Source organism: Homo sapiens, chromosome 20 (genome assembly GCF_000001405.40).
Source record: "Homo sapiens chromosome 20, GRCh38.p14 Primary Assembly".
NCBI classification, from domain to species: Eukaryota; Metazoa; Chordata; class Mammalia; order Primates; family Hominidae; genus Homo; species Homo sapiens.
In genome coordinates, this window is record NC_000020.11 from 30469651 (window position 1) to 30485111 (window position 15461).

At 38.1% G+C, this 15461-nt stretch overlaps 1 pseudogene; it reads right to left on the reverse strand.

Moving 5' to 3' along the window:
- Nucleotides 15275-15426, reverse strand: LOC110467523 (RNA, 5.8S ribosomal pseudogene; annotated as a pseudogene).

The window sequence follows — 15461 nt, forward strand, 5'->3', positions numbered from 1 at the left end:
ATGTGAAGTTATTTCTTTTTCACCATAGGCCTGAATCAGCTAAGAAATTTCCCTTTGCACCTTCTACAAAAGACTGTTTCCAAACTGCTCAATCGAAAGAAAGGTTGAATTCTGTGACATGAATTCACACATCACAAAGAAGTTTCTCAGAAATCTTCTGTCTAGTTTTTATGTGAAGATACTTCCTTTTTCACCATGGGCCTCAAATAACTCCAAATATCCATTTGCAGATTCTACAAAAAGACTTTCCAAACTGCTCAATCAAAAGAAACGTTCAACACTGTGAGATGAAAGCACACATCACAAAGAAGTTTCTCAGAAATCTTCTGTCTAGTTTTTATGTGAAGATATTTCGTATTTCACCACAGGCCATAAAGGGCTCACAAATATCCCTTTGCAGATTCTACAAAACGACTGTTTCCAAACTGCTCAATCAAAAGAAAGGTTCAACTCTGTGACATGAATGGACACATCACAAAGAAGTTTCTCATGAATGCTTCTGTCTAGTTTTTATGTGCAGATGTTTTGTTTTCACCATAGGCCTCAAATGGCTCAGAAATATCCCTTTGCAGATTGTACAAAAAGACTGTTTCTAAACTGCTCAATCAAGGCAAAGTTTCAACTCTGTGAAATGAAAGCCCACATCACAAAGAAGTTTCACAAAATGTTTTTGTCTAGTTTTTATGTGAGTATATTTCCTTTTTGACTGTAGGCCTCAAAGCTCTCCAAATATCCATTTGTAGATTCTTCAAAAAGACTGTTTCCAAAGTGATCAATCAAAAGAAAGTTTCAACTCTGTAGGATGAAAGCACACATCACAAAGTAGTTTCTCAGAAAGCTGCTGTCTAGTATTTATATGAAGATATTTCCTATTTCACCATAGGCCTCAAAGGGATCACAAATATCCCTTTGCAGATTCTACAAAAAGACTGTTTCCAAACTGCTAAATGACAAAAAATTTCAACTCTGTGAGGTGAATGCACATATAAAAAAGAAGTTTCTCAGAATGCTTCTGTCTAGTTTTTATGTGAGGATATTTCTTTTTCACCACAGGCCTGAAACTACTCAGAAATATTCCTTTGCAGATTGCACAAAAAGAATGTTTCCAAACTCCTCAATGAACAGAAAGGTTCAACTCTTTGAGATGAATGCAAACATCACAAAGAGTTATCTCAAAAACTTCTGCCTGGTTTTTATGTGAAGATATTTAGTTTTTCACCATAGGCCTCAAACTGCTCAAAAATATACCTTTGCAGATTCTATACAATGACTTGTTCCCAAACTGCTCAATGGAAAGAAAGGTTCAAATCTGTGATATGAAAGCACGCATCACAAAGAAGTTTCTCAGAATGCTTCTGTCCAGTTATTATGTGAAGATATTTCCTATTTTGCTATAGGACTCAAAGGGCTCAGAAATATCCCTTTGCAGATTCTACAAAAGGACTGTCTCCAAACTGCTCAATCAAAAAAAAAGGTTCAACTCTGTGAGATGAAAGCACACATCACAAAGAAGTTTCTCAAAAACTTCTGTCTAGTTTTTATGTGAAGATATTTCCTATTTCACCATAGTCCTCAAAGGGCTCAGAAATGTCCCTTTGCAGATTCTTTGAAAAGACTGTTTCCAAACTACTGAATGCAATGAAAGGTTTAACTCTGTGGGATGAAGGCACATATCACAGAGAAGTTTCCCAGAATGCTTCTGTCTAATTTTATGTGAAGATATTTCTTTTTCACCATAGGCCTCAAATCACTCAGAAATATCCCTTTACAGATTGTGCAAAAAGACGGTTTTCAAACAGCTCAATGAAAAGGAAGATTCAACTCTGGGAGATGAATGCAAATATCACAAAGAGGTTTCTCAAAAATCTTCTGTCTGGTTTTTACGTGAAGGTATTGCCTTTTTCACCATAGGCCTCAAACCACTCATAAATATCCCTATTCAGATTCTACAAAAAGACTGTTTTCAAACTGCTCAATGAAAGAAAGGTTAAACTCTGAGATGAAAGCACACGTCACAAAGAAGTTTCTCAGAATGCTTTTGTCTAGTTTTATGTGAAGAAGTTTCCTTTTTTCACCATAGGCCTCAAAGAGCTCCAAATATCCACCTGCAGATTCCATGAAAAGACTGTTTCCAAATTGCTCAATCAAAAGAACTGTTCAACTCTGTGAGATGAATGCACACATAACAAAGAAGTTTCTCAAAAAACTTCTGTTTACTTTTTATGTGAAGATATTTCCTTTTTCACCATGGGCCTCAAAGCACTCCAAATATCCACTTGCAGATTCTACAAAAAGAGTGTTTCCAATCTGCTCAATCAAAAGAAAGGTTCCACTCTGTGAGATGAAAGCACACATCACAAAGAACTTTCTTAGAAACCTTCTATCTAGTTTTTATGTGAAGATATTTCATATTTCAAAGTAGGCCTCAATGGGCTCAGAAGTATACCCTTGCAGATACTACAAAAAAAGTGTTTCCAAACAGCTCAATCAAAAGAAAGGTTTAACTCTGTGAGATGAATGCACACATCACAAAGAACTTTCTCAGAATGCTTCTGTCTAGTTTTTCTGAGAAGCCATTTCCTCTTTCACTATAGGCCTCGGTCCACTCACTAATAGCCCTCTGCAGATACTACAAAAAGTCTCTTTCCCAACTGCTGAATCAAAATAAAGGTTCAAATCTGTGAGATGAAAGCCCACATCACAAAAAGTTTCTCAGAAAGTTTCTGTCTAGTTTTTATGTGAAGATATTTCCTATTTCACCTTTGGCCTCAAAGGGATCACAAATATCCCTTTTCAGATTCTACAAAAAACTGTTTCTGAACTACTTCATAAACAGAAAGGTACAACTCTGTGAGATGAATGCACACATAAAAAATTAGTTTCTCAGAATGCTTCTGTCCAGTTTTTATGTGAAGATATTACTTTTTCACCAGAGGTCTCAAACCGCAAACAAATATTCATTTGCAGATTGCACAAAAAGTATGTTTCCACACTGCTCAGTAAACAGAAAGGTTCAACTCAGTGAGATGAATGCAAACATCACAATGAGTTTTCTCAAAATGCTTCTGTCTAGGTTTTATGTGAAGATATTACTTTTTCACCATAGGCCTCAAGCTGCTCACAAATATCCCTTTGCAGATTCTACAAAATGACTTATTGCCAAACTGCTCAATGAAAAGGAAGGTCCAAATATGTGAGATGAAAGCACACATCACAAAGAAGTTTCTCAAAAAGTTTCTGTCTAGTTTTTATCTGCAGATATTTCCTTTTTCACCATAGGCCTCAAAACACTCCAAGTATCCATTTGCAGGCTCTACAAAAAGAGTGTTTCCAAAGTGCTCAATCAAAAGAGAGGTTGAACTCTGTGAGGTGAAAGCATACAGCACAAAGAAGTTTTTCAGAAAGCTTCTGTCAAGTTTTTATGTGAAGATATTTCTTATTTCACCATAGGCCTCAATGGGCTCACAAATATCCCTTTGCAGATTCTACAAAAGACTCTTTCCAAACTGCTCAATCAAAGGAAAGTTTCAGCTCTGTGACATGAATGCACACACCACAAAGAAGTTTCTCAGAATGCTTCTGTCTAGTTTTTATATGAAGATATTTCCTGTTCATAATAGGCCTAAAATGCTGCAAATATCCATTTGCAGATTCTACTAAAAGACTGCTTCTAACCTGCTCAATCAAAAGGAAAGTTCAACTCTGTGAGGTGAAAGCACACATCACAAAGAAGTTTCTCAGAAAGCTTCTGTCTAGTTTTTATGTGAAGATATTTCCTATTTCACCACAGGCCTCAATGGACTCACAAATATCCCTTTCCAGATCCTACAAAAAGACTGTTTCCAAACTGCTCAATGAAAAGAAAGTTTCAACTCTGTGAGGTGAATGCACACATCATAAAGAAGTTTCTCAGAATTTTTTTGTCTTGTTTTTATCTGAAGATATTTCTCTTGCACTGTAGGCCTCAAATAGCTCAGAAATATCCCTTTGCAGATTGTACAAAAAGACTGTTTCCAAACTGCTCAATCAAAAGAAAGTTTCAACACTGTGAGATGAATGCACACATCACAAAGAAGTTTCTCAGAAAGCTTCTGTTTAGCTTTCATGTGAAGATATTTCTGTTTTCACCATAGGCCTCAATGGGCTCAGAAATATCCCTTTGCAGATTCTACAAAAGGACTGTTTAGAAAACTGCTCAATCCAAAGAAAGTTTCAACTCTGTGAGATGAATGCACACATCTCAAAGAAGTTCCTCACAATGGATCTGTCGAGCTTTTATGTGAAGATATATCCTTTTTAACCATAGGCCTTAAACTGCTCACAAATATCCCTCTGCAGATACTACAAAAAGACTGTTTCCAAACTGCTGCATCCAAAGAAATGTTCAACTCTGTGAGATGAATACACACATCACAAAGAAGTTTCTCAGAATGCTTCTGTCTGGTTTTTATGTGAAGATATTTCCTTTTTCACCATAGGCCTCAAAGTGCTCCAAATATCCATTTACAGACTCTACAAAAAGAGTGTTTCCAAACTGCTCATTCAAAAGAAATGTTCAAATCTGTGAGATGAAAGCACACATCGCAAACTGGTTTCTCAGAAAGTTTCTGTCTAGTTTTTATGTGAAGATATTTCCTATTTCACCGTAGGCCATAAAGGGCTCACAAATATTTTTTGCAGATTCTTCAAAAAGACTGTTTCCAAACTGCTCTATCCAAAGAAAGGTCCAACTCTGTGAGATGAATGGACACATCACAAAAAAATTTCTCAGAATGCGTCTGTTCAGTTTTTTTGTGAAGATATTTGTTTTTCACCCTAGGCCTCAATGGGCTCAGAAATATCCCTTTGCAGATTCTCAAAAAAGACTGTTTCCAAACTTCTCAATCTAAAGAAAGGTTCACCTGTGTGAATTGAATGCATACATCACAGAGAAGTTTCCCAGAATGCTTCTGTCTAGTTTTTATGTGAAGGTATTTCCTTTTTCACCATAGGCCTCAAACCACTCACAAATATCCCTCTGCAGATACAACAAAGGACTGTTTCCAATCTGCTAAAACAAAAGATAGGCTCAACAACATGAGATGAATGCACACATCACAAAGAAGTTTCTCAGAATGTTTCTGTCTAGTTTTAATGTGAAGATATTTACTTTTTCACCATAGGCCTCAAAGCACTCCAAACATCCATTTGCAGATTCCACAAAAAGACTGTTTCCAAACTGCTCAATCAAAAGAAAGGTTCAACTCTGTGTGATGAAAGCACACATCACAAAGAAGTTTCTCAGAAAGCTTCTGTCTAGTTTTGTGTGAGGATATTTCCTATTTCCCCACAGGCCTCAATGAACCCACAAATATCCTTTTGCAGATTCTACAAAACGACTGTTTCCGAACTGCTCAATGAAAAGAAAGTTTCAACTCTGTGATGTGAAAGCACACATAAAACAGAAGTTTCTCAGATTCCTTCTGTATAGTTTTTATGTGAAGATATTACTTTTTCACCATAGGCCCCAAACGGCTCAGAAATATCCCTTTGCAGATTGTACAAAAAGACGGTTTCCAAACTGCTCAATGAAAAGGAAGATTCATCTCTGTGAGATGAATGCACACATGAAAAAGAAGTTTCTCAGAATGCTTCTGTCTAGTATTTATGTTAAGATATTTCCTTTTTCACCATAGGCTTTAAACTGCTCACAAATATCCCTCTGCAGATACCACAAGAAGACTGTTTCCAAACTGCTCCATGAAAACAATGGCTCAACTCTGTGAGATTAATGTACACATCACACAGAAGTTTCTCAGAATGATTCTTTTTAGTTTTTATGTGAAGATATTTCCTATTTCATCATAGGCTGTAAAGGGTTCACCAATATCTGTTTGCACATTCTAAAAAAAGACTGTTTCCAAACTGCTCAAACAAAAGAAAGGTTCAACTCTGTGAGATGAATGCACACATCAGAAAGAAGTTTCTCAGAATGCTTCTGTCTAGTTTTTATGTGAAGATATTTGTTTTTCACCATAGGCCTCAAACAGCTCAGAAATATCCTTTTGCAGATTTTACAAAAAGACTGTTTCCAAACTGCTCAATCAAAAGAAAGGTCCAACACTCTGAGATGAATGCACACATCACAAAGAAGTTTCTCAGAGAGCTTCTATTTTGTTTTTATTTAAAGATGTTTCCTTTTCACCATAGGCCTCAATGGGCTAAGAAATATCCCTTTGCAGATGCTACAAAAGGACTGTTTAGAAAACTGCTGAATCCAAAGAAAGATTCAACTCTGTGAGATGAATGCACACGTCACAAAGAAGTTTCTCAGAATGCATCTGTCCAGTATTTTCTATGTGAATATGTTTCCTTTTTCACCATAGGCCTCAAAGCAGTCCAAATACCCATTTGCAGATTCTACAAAAAGAGTGTTTCCAAACTGCTCAATCAAAAGAAAGGTTCAACTCTGTGACATGAAAGCACACATCACAAAGAAGTTTCTCAGAAAGTTTCTGTCTAGTTTTTTTGTGAAGATATTTCCTATTTCACCACAGGCCATATAGGGCTCACAAATATTTTTTGCAGATTCTACAAAAAGACTGTTTCCAAACTGCTCAATCCAAAGAAAGTTTCAACTCTGTGAGATGAATGGACACATCACAAAAAAGTTTACTAGAATGCTTCTGTCTAGTTTTTATGTGAAGATATTACTTTTTCACCCTATGCTTCAATGGGCTCAGAAATATCCCTTTGCAGATTCTACAAAAGGACTGTTTCCAAACTGCTCAGTCAAAGAAAGATTCACCTCTATGAGATGAATGCACACATCACAGAGATGTTTCTCAGAATGCTTCTGCCTAGTTTCTATGTGAAGGTATTTCCTTTTTCACCATAGGCCTCAAAGCGCTCCAAACATCCATTTGCAGATTCCACAAAAAGACTGTTTCCAAACTGCTCAATCAAAAGAAAGGTACAACTCTGTGAGTTGAAAGCACACATCACAAAGAAGTTTCTCAGAAAGCTTCTGTCTAGTTTTTCTGTGAGGATAATTCCTGTTAAACCATGGGCCATAAAGGGCTCACAAATATTTTTTGCAGATTCTAGAAAAAGATTGTTTCCAAACTGCTCAATACAAAGAAAGGTTCAACTCTGTGAGATGAATGGACACAACACAAAAAAGTTTCTCAGAATGCTTCTGTCTAGTGTTTATGTGAGATATTTCCTTTTTCACCATAGGCCTCAAAGCACTCCAAATATCCATTTGCAGATTCCACAAAAAGACTGTTTCCAAATTGCTCAATGAAAAGAAAGTTTCAACTCTGTGAGGTGAAAGCACACATCACAAAGAAGTTTCTCAGAATGTATCTTCCTAGTTTTTTTTGTGAGGATCTTTTCCCTTTCACCATAGGCCTCAAACCACTCCAAGTATCCATTTGGAGATTCTACCAAAAGACTGTTTACAAACTGCTAAATCAAAAGAAAGGTTCAGCTCTGTGATATGAATGCACATATCACAAGGAAGTTTCTCAGAAAGTTTCTGTTTAGTGTTTATCTGAAGATATTTCCTTTTTCACCATAGGCCTCAAAGTACTCTCAATGTGCATTTCCAGATTCTACAAAAAGTCTGTTTCCAAACTGCTCAGTGAAAAGAAAGGTTCAACTTTGGGAGATGAAAGCACACATCACAAAGAAGTTTCTCAGAATGTTTCTTTCTAGTTTTTTTTGTGAAGATATTTCCTTTTTCACCATAGGCCTCAAAGCACTCCTAATATCCATTTGCAGATTCTACAAAAAGACTGTTTACAAACTGCTCAATCAAAAGAAAGTTTCAAAGCTGTGAGATTAATGCACGCATTACAAAGCAGTTTCTCAGAAATCTTTTGTTTAGTTTTTATGTGAAGATATTTCCTTTTTCACCATAGGCCTCAAAGAACTCCAATTATCCATTTGCAGATTCTGCAAAAAGGGTGTTTCCAAACTGCTCAGTCAAAAGAAACCCTCAATTCTTTGAGATGAAAGCACTCATTAAAAGAAGTTTCTCAGAAAGCTTCTGTCTAGCTTTTATGTGAAGATATTTTCTATATCACCAAAGGCCTCAATGAGCTCAGAAATATCCCTTTGGGGATTCTACAAAGGACTGCTTCCAAACTGCTCTAGGAAAAGAAAGCTTCAACTGTGTGAGACGAATGCACCCATCACAAAAAAGTTTTTCAGAATGTTTCTGTGTAATTTTTATATGAAGATATTTCCTACTTCACAATAGGCCTCAAAGGGTTCACAATTATCCCTTTGTAGATTTTACAAAAAAAACTGTTTCCAAATCTTCAATCAAAGAAATGTTCAACAGTGTGAGATGAATGCAAATGACAGAAAGAAGTTTTTCAGAATGCTTTCATCTAATTTTTATGTGAAGATATTTCCTTTTTCACCATAGGCTTCAAAGCGATCCCAATATCCATTTGCAGGTTGTACAAAAAGACTGTTTCCAATCTGCACAATTGAAAGACATTTTCAAATCTGTGAGATGAAAGTACACATCACAGAGAAGTTTCTCAAAAAGCTACTGTCTAGTTTTTATGTGAAGATATTTCCTATTTCACCATAGGCCATAAAGGGCTCACAAATATACGTTTGCATATGCTACAAAAATACTGTTACCAAATTGCTCAGTCAAAAGAAAGTTTCAACTCTGTGAGATGAATGGACACATCACAAAGTAGTTTCTAAGAATGCTTCTGTCTAGTTTTTTTGGAAGATATTTCTTTTTCATCATAGGCCTCAAACGGCTCAGAAATATCCCTTTGCAGATTGTACAAAAAGACTGTCTCCAAACTGTTCAATCAAAAGAAAGGTTCAACTCTGTGAGATGAATTCAAACATCACAAAGAGGTTTCTCAAAATACTTCTGTCTAGTTTTTATGTGAAGGTATTTCCTTTTTCACCACATGCCTCAAACGGCTCACAAATATCCCTTAGCAGATTCTACAAAAAGACTGTTTCCAAACTGCTCAATGAAAAGAAAGGTTAAACTCTGTGAAATGAAATCTCTCATCACAAAGAAGTTTCTCAGAATGCTTCTGTCTCGTTTTTATGTGGAGAAGTTTCCTTTTTCACCATAGGCCTCAAACCGCTCCAAATACCCATTTGCGGATTCTACAAAAAGACTGTTTCCGACTGCTCAAACAAAAGAACGGTTCAACTCTGGGAGATGAATGCACACATCATAAAAAAGTTTCTCAGAAAGCTTCCATTTAGTTTTTATGTGAAGATATTTCCTTTTTTACCATGGGCCTCAAAGTGCTCCAAATATCCATTTGCAGATTCTACAAAAAGAGTGTTTCCAAACTGCTCAATCAAAAGAAAGGTTCAACTCTGTGAGATGGAAGCACACATCACAAAGAAGTTTCTTAGAAACATTCTGTCTAGTTTTTACGGGAAGATATTTCATATTTCACCATAGGCCTCAATGGGCTCAGAAATATACCTTTGCAGATTCCACAAAAGGATTGTTTCCAACCTGCTCAATCCAACAAAAGGTTCAACACTGTGAGATGAATTCACACATCACAAAGAAGTTTCTCAGAAAGCTTCTGTCTAGTTTTTATGTGAAGATATTTCCTTTTTCACCATAGGCCTCAAACCACTTGCAAACATCCCTCGGGAGATACTACAAAAAGACTATTTCCAAACTGTTCAACCAAAAGAAAGCTTCAACTCTGTATGATAAATGCACACGTCACAAAGAAGTTTCTCAGAATGCTTCTGTCTAGTTTTTATGTGAGTATATTTCCTTTCTCAACAAGGCCTCAAACGTCTCCAAATGTCCATTTGCAGATTCTACAAAAAGATGGTTTCCAAACTGCTCAATGTATAGAAAGGTTCAACTCTGTGAAATGAAAACACACATCACAAAGAAGTTTCATAGAATGTTGCTTTCTAGGTTTTTGTGAAGATATTTCCTTTTTCACCACAGTCCTCAAAGTGCTCCAAATAGCAGATTCTACAAAAAATGTGTTTCAAAACTGCTCAATAAAAAGAAAGGTTCAACTCTGTGAGATGAAAGCATACATCACAAAGAAGTTTCTCAGAAATCCTCTGACTAGTTTTTATGTGAAGATATTTCCTATTTTACCATAGGCCTCAAAGGGCTCACAAATATCCCTTTGCAGATTCTACAAAAGGACTGTTTTGAAACTGCTCAATCAGAAGAAAGGTTCAACTCTGTGAGATGAATGCATACATCACAAAGAAGTTTCTAAGAATGCTTCTGGCTAGTTTTTATGTGAAGATATTTCCTTTTTCACCATAGGCCTCAAAGCGCTCCAAATATCCATTTGCATATTCTACAAAAAGACTGTTTCCAAACTCCTCAACGAAAAGAGAGCTTCAACTCTGTGAGATGAAAGCACACTTCACAAAAAAGTTTCTCAGAATGCTTCTGTCTAGTTTTTATGTGAAGATATTTCCTATTTCACCTTAGGCCATAAAGGACTCATAAATATCCCTCTGCATATTCTAGAAAAGGACTCTTTCCAAAGTGCTCAATCAAAAGAAAGGTTCAACTCTGTGAGATGAATGTGCACATCACAAAGAAGTTTCTCAGAAAGCTTCTGTCCAGTATTTTATATGAAGATATTTCCCTTTTCACCATACCTATCAAAGCGCTCAAAATATCCCTTTGCAGATTCTCTGAAAAGACTCTTTCCAAACTTCTCAATCAAAAGAATGGTTCAACTCTGTGAGATAAATGCACATATCACAAAGCAGTTTTTCTGAAATCTTCTGTCTAGTTTTTATGTGAAGATATTTCCTTTTTCACCATAGGCCTCAAGCCGCTCACAAATATCCCTTTGCAGAATTTACAAGAACAGAGTTTCCAGACTCATTAAGGAATAGAAACTTTTATCTCTGTGAGATGAATGCACACCTTGCAAAACAGCTTCTCAGAAACATTCTTTATAGTTTTTATTGAAGATATTTCCTTTTTCACCATAGGCCTCAGAGAGCTGACAAATATACCTTTGCCAATTCTACAAAAATACTGTCTCCAAACTGCTCAATCAAAAGAATGGTTCAACTCTGTGAGATGAATGCACACATAGCCATGAACTTTCTCAGAAACTTCGGTCAAGTTTTTATGCGATGATATTTCCTTTTTCACCATAGGCCTCGAACTGCTCACAAATATCCCTTTGCAGATTGCACAAGAAAAGAGTTTCCCATCTGCTCAATGAAAAGAAACGTTTACCTCTGTGAGATGAATGCACACATTAAAAAGCAGTTTCTCAGAAACCTTCTGTCTAGTTTTTATGTGAATTTATTTCGTTTTTCACCATAGGCCTCAAAGCGTTCACAAATATCCCTTTGCATATTCTACAAAAAGACTGTTTCCAAATTGCTCAATCAAAGGAATGGTTCAATTCTGTGAGATGAGTGCACACATTACACAGATGTCTCTCAGAAAGCTTCTGTCTAGTTTTCATGTGAAGATATTTCCTTTTTCACCATAAGCCTGAAAGTGTTCACAAATATCCATTTGCAGATTCTACAAAATACTGGTTCCAAAATGCTCAATCAATAGAAAGGTTCAACTCTGTGAGATGAATTCACACATCACAAATCAGTTTCTCAGAAACCTTCTTTCTAGTTTTTATGTGAAGACATTTCCTTTTTCAACATAAGCTTCAAAGCGCTCACAAATATCCCTTTGCAGATTCTACAAAAAGACTGTTACCAAACTGCTCAATCAAAAGAATGGTTCAACTCTGGGATGAATGTACAAATCACAAAAAAAGTTTCTCAGAAAGCTTCTGTCTAGTTTTTATGTGAAGAGATTTCCTTTTTCACCATTGGCCTCCAAGTGATCACAAATATCCCTTTGCCAATTCTACAAAAATACTGTTTCCAAACTGCTCAATCAAAAGAATGGTTCAACCCTGTGATATGAATGCACACATAACCAGGAAGTTTCTCAGAAACTTCTGTCAAGTTTTTATGCAATGATATTTCCTTTTTCGCCATAGGCCTCAAACTGCTCACAAATATCCCTTTGCAGATCCTACAAGAACAGAGTTTCCAATCTGCTCAATGAAAAGAATGATTTACCTCTGTGAGATGAACACACACATCACAAAGCAGTTTCTCATAAATCTTCTTTCTAGTTTTTATGTAAAGATATTTCCTTTTTCACCATAGGCCTCAAAGTGCTCACAAATATCCCTCTGCAGATTCTACAAAACACCATTTCCAAGCTTTTCAATCAAAAGAATGGTTTAACTTTGTGAGATGAATCCACACGTCAAAAAGTAGTTTCTCAGAAAGCGTCTGTCTAGTTTTTATGTGAAGATATTTCCTTTTTCACCATAGACATCAAAGTGCTCACAAATATCACTTTGCAGATTGCACAAGAACTGAGTTTCCAGACTGGTCAAGGGAATGAAACGTTTAACTCTGTGAGATGAATGCAGACATCACAAAGCAGTTTCTCAGAAACATTCTTTATAGTTTTTATGTAAAAGTATTTCCTTTTTCACCATGGTCTCAAAGCACTCACAGATATCCCTTTGCAGATTCTATAACAACAAAATTTCCAAACTGCTCATAATTAGTTTTTAGGACCAACATGAGCATTTAGAAACACTGCTTGTGGTGCAGCACACATGTGTTATCCACACTGAAATTAGGAATTCAACAGAAGTTCATGTAGAGCCGAAAATGTGAATATTTGGGGGACCTTGGAGATGATCTAGCTCACTTTATTTTGTAGAAAAGAAAACAGATTCAGGGAAAGGACATGCATTGCCTAAGGTGATTCCACAGCTTTGGTGCAGAAACAAAACACAGCTAAGGTGATTCATCAGGTTTGGAGCAGAAACGCAATACAATCTCTGTTCTTTTGCTTCTCAGATCCAGAATTTTTTCACAATACTGAACTGCTTATGTTTCTGATTCCTTATTTTTTCTTTTTAAATTTTGCCAGTATTGTCTTACAAAGATCCTATTCTTTACCCTAAATATTTAAATTGGTTACCACTATTGTCTCTTTATAAGTAAAATTACTAGTTGTTATTATAAATGATTATTCAATCACTTTTCATTTTTGGGGGTCCAGTACAAAGTTAGTAACAAATAAACACTATTGGCCTTGGCAACCCAAGAGGAGCTCAAGTCCTCCAGGGCACATCAGGAAAAGGCTAAATGACAGCTGTGCTGGGAGTGGACAGAATACAGCTCTCATACAGACTATTGAGTATTTGATGTTTTTCAACAATTTCATTAATCTTCAGTTTTTTTCCTCTTTGAAGTGAAAGTCTGCTATGACTTTCAACTTTCTTTTGAAATAATTATAGATTCACAGGAAGTTGCAAAAGGTACAGGGATGTCTTAGGTACTCTTCACTAATTCCAGTGGTGACATCTCACATAGCCATAGAGCATTATCAAAACCTGGAAACTGACATAGGTACAATTCAGAAAGCTTACTCAGATCGCAACCGTTTTGCATGCATTCATTTTTGTACGTGTGTATGTGTGTGCGTGTGTTCTGTTCATTTTTATGTGGTGTAGATCTCTGTAACTACCACTTCCAAAGTCAAGATGCAGAACTGTAGCCTCACCACCAGGCTCCAACTTGGGATCTTTGCTGACACTCTGACACGTTTTCTCCACCCCTTCCCCTTGGCAACCCCATAGTCTGTTCTCCATCTTTACAATTTTATTTCAATAATTTATATAAATGTAATTGTACAAAATCGTATTTTTAAAGGGAAAAAACAAGTCACAGATAGTTTTGTTAGCACTGTAAAACAGTCTTTAACATTCATCTGTTTTATGTTCTGTCTCAAAAAAATGTGCTTTGTTCTTTCCCATACTTTCTGATATCAGGATAGGAAATCAATACCAAACAAAACATTTCCATTCATTTTTTCCCACAGCTTGTTTTTCACTGTTGTTACCTAAAATTTATTGTTGCATTTACTCTTTCTCTCTGTTTTCCATCACATAAAAGTAACTTTGTGTTCTTTATCTCTTCTAAGAAAACTTGGTAATGAGCCTTTAATGTGACGCCTGGACAACCCTTGTTTTGATTTTGTGTTATGGGTGTTCTTTTGTGTGATCATTCTCATGGAGAGTCCTTGTGAAGCTGGGCTTTTCCAGTGGTTTGTCAAAATGGAAATAGATATTTAACAAACCAAACACAAAATGACCTTGTTCCAGGAATGCATCATTTCTGAGAAAACACTACCTCTTCCAACTAGATATTGTGAATATTACTCATATTATCCTTTGCTCCCTTTTATTAAAACTGTATTTTTTTACACATTTGTGTAACTCGGGTAATGAAATGTGAAACTAAGTGATTGCCTACCAATTACAATTAATGTTAACGATGCTACTGGGAGGACACCCTTACAGTGGCTGTGCCAAGTCTAGGGACATGCTAGCTTTGCTAAGTTACATGAGATTGCCTACGTACTAAATGGAGGTGGGGGACGGGTCCGAGGACACGGTGGCGCTGCCCTGCCCCGAAAGGCCCAGAGCTGGAGGCGGGCGCGCGATGGTGGATGACACCACAGCGTCCAGCGGATCACCACCAGGGGCAAGCGAACCATGGGACCAGACGGGCCGTGTGGCAGGCTTCCGGCCCCGGACACACCGTGACGTGCCGGGCGGGTGGGGGGTGGGCAGGGTGTGGGTGGGCGAGGAGGACGGTGCCTCGGAGGAGTGTTGGGGAGGAGGGGCACTGGAGCTGTGGTCGGCCAGTTGCTGGGCCGCCTCCAGGGGTGGACGGTGAACCGCGGCGACCGGGACGTGCTCCGCCACCCTCTCCCCGGTGGACCCTTCCTATTTGCGTTCCTCCCCGCCCCCAACAAGCCCCCACCACCGACGACGTGCGACGATGATGGCATGGGACCTTCCACCCTGCCAGGGCCAATGAACCCCACACCATGAGCTGCATGAGGCAAGAGGGAGCCCCCAAGGGAGGAACCCAGACCGTGATGGTGGCCACGGGAACTCGGCCGCAGCCGGCTATCTTCCCTCTCTTTTTTCACTGGTGGCGGTGCTGCCCTCTCTCTCTTCCTCACAGCCGGGAGCCCCCCTTCCCCACGCCACCCAATGCGTGACCACACAGGGCCTGTTGGGGGAGGGGGAAGGGGCGGGTACAGCAGGAGAGGAGGGCGGATGTCGCTGGTCTGCACTTGGGGGAACAGAGGGCCCCGTGGGCCATGCCATGGAACAGCCGTGCACCCCGAGGAGCCTGGAGGCAACCCCGGGGGATTTTGATCGGCAAGCGACGCTCAGACAGGCATAGCCCTAGGAGGAACCCGGGCCGCAAGTGCATTCGAAGTGTCAATGATCAATGTGTCCTGCGGTTCACATTAATTCTCCCAGCTAGCTGCATTCTTCATTGACGCAGCAGCCGAGTGATCCACCACTAAAAGTCATAAAAGGTTGATTTGGCGAGGGCACTCCCAAGAA